Source organism: Homo sapiens, chromosome X (assembly GCF_000001405.40).
Source record: "Homo sapiens chromosome X, GRCh38.p14 Primary Assembly".
In the NCBI taxonomy this organism is placed as follows: domain Eukaryota; kingdom Metazoa; phylum Chordata; class Mammalia; order Primates; family Hominidae; genus Homo; species Homo sapiens.
Window position 1 is genome coordinate 115,396,505 of NC_000023.11, and position 6,529 is coordinate 115,403,033.

Genomic DNA, 6,529 nt, shown 5'->3' on the forward strand with positions numbered 1-6,529 from the left:
GATGGGACAGGATATATTTTTTGAGAGCTGGCTTTTCTGTTCTCAAGCCCTATCTTGTCATAAATATCTACAAAACTAGGTCATGGCTTACTGCAGCCTCAACCTCCTGGACTCAAGTAATCCTCCTATTTCAGCCTCCTGAATAGCTGGGACTATGGGCATATGCCACCACACCTGGCTAATTTTTAAATGTTTTGTGGAGATGGGGTTTTGCTATGCTATCCAGGATGGTCTCAAACTCCTGGTTTCAAGTGATCCTACTGCTTCGCCCTCCCAAAGTTCTGGGATGACAGATATGAGCCACTGTCTCCTGCTCTAAAATACATTTTTAATGTATGATCGCCTTCTATTCTACAGGAAAATAAGGAGCTATATTTAATACAAGAAATGTGTTTAGGAGGAGGGTATTTCTTTCAAAGGCATAACTCTGAAAATAAACATAAATGCCATATTTCGTGGTTAAGAGCACAGGCTTTCAACTCTTTTTTACAAATGGCAAGAAAATAATCCCAGCATTTTGGGATGCTGAGATGGGAGGATAGCTTGAGGCCAGGAGTTTGAAATCAGCCTGTTCAACATAGCAAGACCCTGTCTCTACAAAAACTGAAGAAAAAAAATAGGCGTGGTGGTGTGCACCTGCAGTCCAAGCTACTCTACTCAGGAGGCTAAAGTGGAAAGGATTGCTTGAGCCCAGGAGGTCAAAGCTGCAGTGTGCCATGATTGCACCACTGCACTGCAGCCTGGGTGCCTGGGTTACAGAGGAAGACACTGTTGAAAGAAAGAAAGAAAGAAAGAAAGAAAGAAAGAAAGAAAGAAAGAAAGAAAGAAAGAAAGAAAGAAAGAAAGAAAGAAGGAAGGAAAGGGGGAGGGAGGGAGGAAGGAAGAAAGGGCAAGAAAAGAGGGAGAAACTTATAGATTAAAAGAAACTTAAGAGATGACTTATCAACGAAACGCCATTATATGATGCAAACCTTTTCTGGATCATGATTCAAATAACCCAATGTGAAAAAAAAATGAGATAATTGGGGAAATATGACCATGGATTGGACAATTAATGATGTTAAGAAATAATGCATTTTAAAGGTATTATAGCTATTTTTTAAAGAGTCCATTTCTTTTGAAAATATATATTGAAATATTTACAATGAAATGACATGAAATCTTGAGTATGTGTGTGTGTGTGTGTGTGTGTGTGTGGTATATGCAACCAGTGTGTGTGTCCTATAAATAGCTTTGCAATATACAAGATGTCTACTGTTGTTTTGCAACTGAAGAGCTTGTCTAGGAAAGAGTTTGCAGTGGCAGCACAGGTGGAAACAGTAGTGAAGAATCAGACAGTTAATCCTGAGGAATAAGAAAAGCCTTGCTTCACGGGCAAAGATTTCATGATTAAAACATTAAAAGCAATTGTAACAAAAGCAAAAATGGACAAATGGAATCTAATTAAACTAAAGAGCTTCTGCACAGCAAAACAAACTACCATCAGAGTAAACAGAGAACCTGCAGAATGAGAGAAAAATTTTGCAATCTATCCATCTGACAAAGGGCTAATATCCAGATTCTACAAGGAACTTAAACAAACGTACAAGAAAAAAGCAAACAATTCCATTGAAAAGTGGGCAAACGACATGAACAGACACTTCTGAAAAGAAGACATTTATGCAGCCAGCAAACATATGAAAAAAAGCTCAACATCACTGAGCATTAGAGAAATGCAAATCAAAACCACAGTGAGACACCCTGCCATGCCAGTCAGAATAGCAATTGTTAAAAAGTCAAGAAGCAACAGATGCTGGCAAAGCTGTGGAGAAATAGGAATGCTTTTATACTGTTGGTGGGAATGTAAATTATTTCAGCCATTGTGGAAGACAGTATGGCAATTCCTCAAAGACCTAGAACCAGAATTACTATTTGACCCAGCAATCCCATTACTGGGTATATACCCAAAGGAATATACTTCATTCTATTATAAAGATATATGCACACATATGTTCATTGCAGCACTATTCATAATAGCAAAGACATGGGACCAACCCAAAGGCCCATCAGTGATAGACTGGGTAAAGAAAATGTGGTACATATACACCATGGAATACTATGCAGCCATAAAAAGAAATGAGATCATGTCCTTTGCAGGGACATGGATGGAGCTGGAAGCCATTATCCTCAGCAAAGTAATGCAGGAACAGAATACCAAACACAGCATGTTCTCACTTATAATTGGGAGCTGAACAAGGAGAACACATGGACACAGGGAGGGGAGCAACACACACTGGGGCCTGTCAGGGGTGGTGGGGAAGGGAGACCATAGGGATAAATAGCCAATGCACGTGGAGCTTAATACCTAGGCGATGGGTTGATAGGTGCAGCCAACCACCATGGCACACGTTTACCTGTGTAACAAATCTGCACGTCCTGCACATGTATCCTGGAACTTAAATTAAATTAAATTTTTAAAAACGGAAAAGCCTTGCTTCGCAGCACTAAGCCTTTAAAAGCATCCTTAGGAACAAAAGTAGCGTATTTCTTCTGTATCTGTTTTTTGTCCTCTCTCTACCACCTCCCACCCCACATTGCCCCATAGTGAATGTTAATAACCAATTAATTCTCCTCAGATTTCCTCAGAATACTGAGCGGGAAAAGTCTGGTTGCCACTGAAGCAGGAATACAGATCCCTTCCTTACATAGTCCTTATACCTGACATAGGAATGGAGAACTCTGTAGTCATACTTTAACTCTTTTAACAAACATTTACCAAATGTTCACTACATGCCAATAGTCTGCTAGACACTCACACGTTATCTCAGTGATCTGGTCCAGACCCGTTTTACATATGAGTAGACTGAGGTTTGGAGAGATTAAGCGGCTCACCCAGAATTACACACACTGCTAATGTAATCATGGGCCATCAATGCCTGTGGAGGCTCTGTGGTCTGTGAAGGGGAGAAAATTACAGAACAAAGAGGCCCTTCATGTTTAGGTTCAATACCAAGCCCATGCTGCACACAAAGGTTCAGAGCAAGTGAACAACATGGAGTCCACTGAGCTCCATTGTAAGGTAGAAGTGGACTACCAGATGGGACCTTTGCCAGCCCTGAGCCATTAAAGACTTCCTGAGCCCAGCCAATTTACCTGCTTTTCAATAAGATCTTTATTTGCCCTTCTATTCTTGTCTAAAGTTGTTGTCATTTCCTTTTCTGTCTGGCGACACTGAAAGCTGCCTTCAGGCAGTATGACCATGCTGGCCCCTTCTGCAACCCCCACCTCACCAAGAAACATATCTTAGGATTCCCTTTGTTTGACTTTTTTCTTCTTTTTTGAGCAGAAAGCATCTTATCTCTCACATTTCTAGAACTTTGGCTATTCAAATTCTTTATTGGATCCGCAAGCAGCTCAGGGTCGGGAGTAAATGGAAAGTGCTGTCCTAGCAGCTCTGGTTTCATTATTAAGCGGTTGCATTGGGAGACATATGGATTCACAGGACCAGAGCCTCTTAGAGCTGCCAAGCTCTCAGAAACTGTAGAATTGGGCCCAATCTGGGATGACTGCAACTTGGCTGCTAACAGTTCATTTGTTTGTTCGTTCATCCCTCCCTTCGTTCTTTTATTCCAGAAACACTTCTTAACTGCCTACTTGTGCCTTGCTCTCCCCGCCCAACTCAGGCGGCTGTTATCTTGAGGAAGGGGGTGAATGGACCAGTAAACAGAGGGTCACCATCCAGTGTGACTAGTTCTATGAAGGAGAGGCGGTGTCAGATAGTGGTTTAGAAAGTACAATTTAAAAATCACACAGTCCTGGTTTAAACTTCAGCCTTCATACTTATTTGTTGTGTGGTGGTGGATGAGCTATGAAACCTCCTCAGTTAATCCATAGTGGGGAGGTACCTGGTACTAGAGCAGCACAGATAGGCAGCAGAACATCTCTTTCTGACTAATGGGGATCCATAAAACCAGGAGCTAACATGGGAGAATTTTATCCTTAAAAACATCTTATCTTTGGCACGGTGGCGTGCACTTGTAATCCCAGCCACTCAGGAGGCTGAGGCAGGAGGATCTCTTGAACCAAGGAGTTGGAAGCTGCAGTGAGCTGTGATCATGTCACTGCACTCCAGCCTAGGCAAGAGGGCAAGACCTCATGTCTTTCTCTCTCTCTCTCTCTATCTCTCAGTGTGTGTGTGTGTGTGTGTGTGTGTGTGTGTGTGTGTGTGTGTGTGTGTATGTGGGCGCATATATATATATATCCTATGGCAAGGGCAGGCAACAGGCAGGTAGACGGCTGGGACAAGGGATGTTTGTTCATTGGGACGAGATGTCCACAGGGGCTCTAGTTCAGAGTCAGATCCATAATTTATAGAAGGATTTAGGGGGCAAGGCAGACTTCACTCCCAGAGGAAATATACGGCTGGCTTTATAGAATGAGAGTATAAATTAGGACTTGGAAACAACAGAACCCGGTAACCAGAATACAGGGGCCACACTAAACAGTACAGGAGCCCTGCTGACAATGCTGGGGTTGGCAGGCATGGCAGTCCTGAGAATGTGCCACTCAGATTTCTGCAGGGACAGTGACCAAGCTGCTGCTGTGCTCTGAAATCATCGCCTTGGCACTGAGGCCATGCTTCCTACGGCTGCTCCCCGTCATTGTGTGAGCACAGCAGGGAACCTAGACAGGCCTGTCCATGAGACACTGGATTCCTTTGACTGGTGACTGTCTCAAGGACTCCCTGGCAGCCTTGTTAAACTTTCCTTAGAACTACATGGTAGGCTAATACCCTCCATCCCCCACTCCTTCCTTCCTTCCTTCTTTCTCTCTCTCTCTCCTTCACTCAGGGTGAGACTTGCATTGCATTGCAATGAATGCTGGTGGCTCTCCTAGATTTTCCTAGCTCCCTCCCCATTTTCCATCATATGGATTGCCTCTAATAAATTTCTTGTGTTTTTAACCCTATCACTTTGTCTGCTTCTTGGAGAGCCTGGACTAACACAGAGGGTCACTTACAGGTGTGGTTTAAGGGACCCCAGCTTAAAGGTTAGTGAGTTGAAATAACAAAGATTTCATAGGACATTTAGTGCAACGGTTTCACATTTCATTCCATGAAGAATGTAGATTCACTGGGGAGGCCTTAGGGGCCAGCCACAATGCCACTCTCTAGGAATACAGTAATGAACAAGATGAGCAAGATACCCTTACAGATTTTGCCAGGAAAGACGGCAGAGTAAGCAAGTAATTAAGAAAATATTTCCATTAGTTTTTTAAAATTTAGAAGCTAGTAATATAGTTCAAATCCCTTACATATCTTACAAGTCTTCATGATCTAGCCCATACCTTTTTATCTCCTTTTTTTTTTTTTTGGCCATATCCTTATTACATTCCGCATAAGCTAGCCAGAAATGTTTGCAATTTCCAGAAACTTCCACCTTCCTTCTTATTCTGAGCCGTTGCCAAAGCTACCCTTCACCTACTAGCCTTAACCATATCCATCTGCCGGGCTTAATTCAGGCATCCCCTCTCTGGGAAGTTTTCCTTGAGCAACTGAAGGTGCTCCCATAGCAACCTCTACCCTGATCATAGATTTCATTAAAGGCAGGTAAATGGAAAACAATAGAAAAGCAAATGTCATGCCAGGTATGAGAAATCTATATTCCTTCTTTCCAAATCAGTTGGCTCATATTTAAGAAATACTATCTCCACCCTTTATGCTCAAGCCAAACTTGACTTTTGTTTTGTTGCAGAGACTGCCTACCCAATATCTTTTCTCCCCTGCTTCCTTACTATAATAATGTGGCCAACTAAAAAATATCTATGCTTCTTAGTCTTTCTTGCAGATAGAGACAATGAGATACAAGCAGAAGTCATAGGGTGGGGCTTCTGGGAAGCCCTTTTTGCCTTTTGACTCTCCCTTCTACCCACTGCCTGGTATTTGAATGTGATGCTTAAAGTACCACCAGGCATCTTGGGACTATGAGGGAAAGGTCAAGAGAATTACAAACAGCCCTGACATTCTTGAGCTGCTAAACCAACACCAGCAACCGCCTACCTTTGGACTTCTCATTACATGGGACAAATAAACCCTCATGTGTTTCAGCCACTGTAATCAAATTTCTTTCGCTGACAGATTAATGCATTTCAGAACTGGTCCACTTTAACAAGTTCTGCTCCCTTCTCCTTAGCTATACTCATGCCTGGAACACCTCCCTCCCCACCATCCTTTCCCCTAAATCTCCAAATCCTATCCATCATGGAAGATCCAGTTTAAATGACATTCAGTTAATGGGATCTTATTTTATCCCATCCCACACTTGATGTGCTATTTCTTCTGACTCTTATGACTCATCGTATTGCACTTTATCTGGACTTCTGTTGTGGAATATATATATTATACACATATATATGTTTATATATAAAATACATATTATACATATATTTGTGGAATATATATTATACATGTGTGTATATATACATATATATTATGTGGAATATATATGTATATACATATATGTATATACACATATATTATGTGGAATATATG

At 41.8% G+C, this 6,529-nt stretch overlaps 1 annotated feature.

Annotated features, from left to right (window-relative positions):
* Positions 2,659-3,232: an enhancer, noted in NCBI's record as "NANOG hESC enhancer chrX:114633821-114634394 (GRCh37/hg19 assembly coordinates)". NCBI's record gives its function as "activates a minimal SCP1, AML or CMV promoter by ChIP-STARR-seq in naive H9 embryonic stem cells {active_cell/tissue: H9 hESC(naive)}" and the evidence as "EXISTENCE:reporter gene assay evidence [ECO:0000049][PMID:30033119]".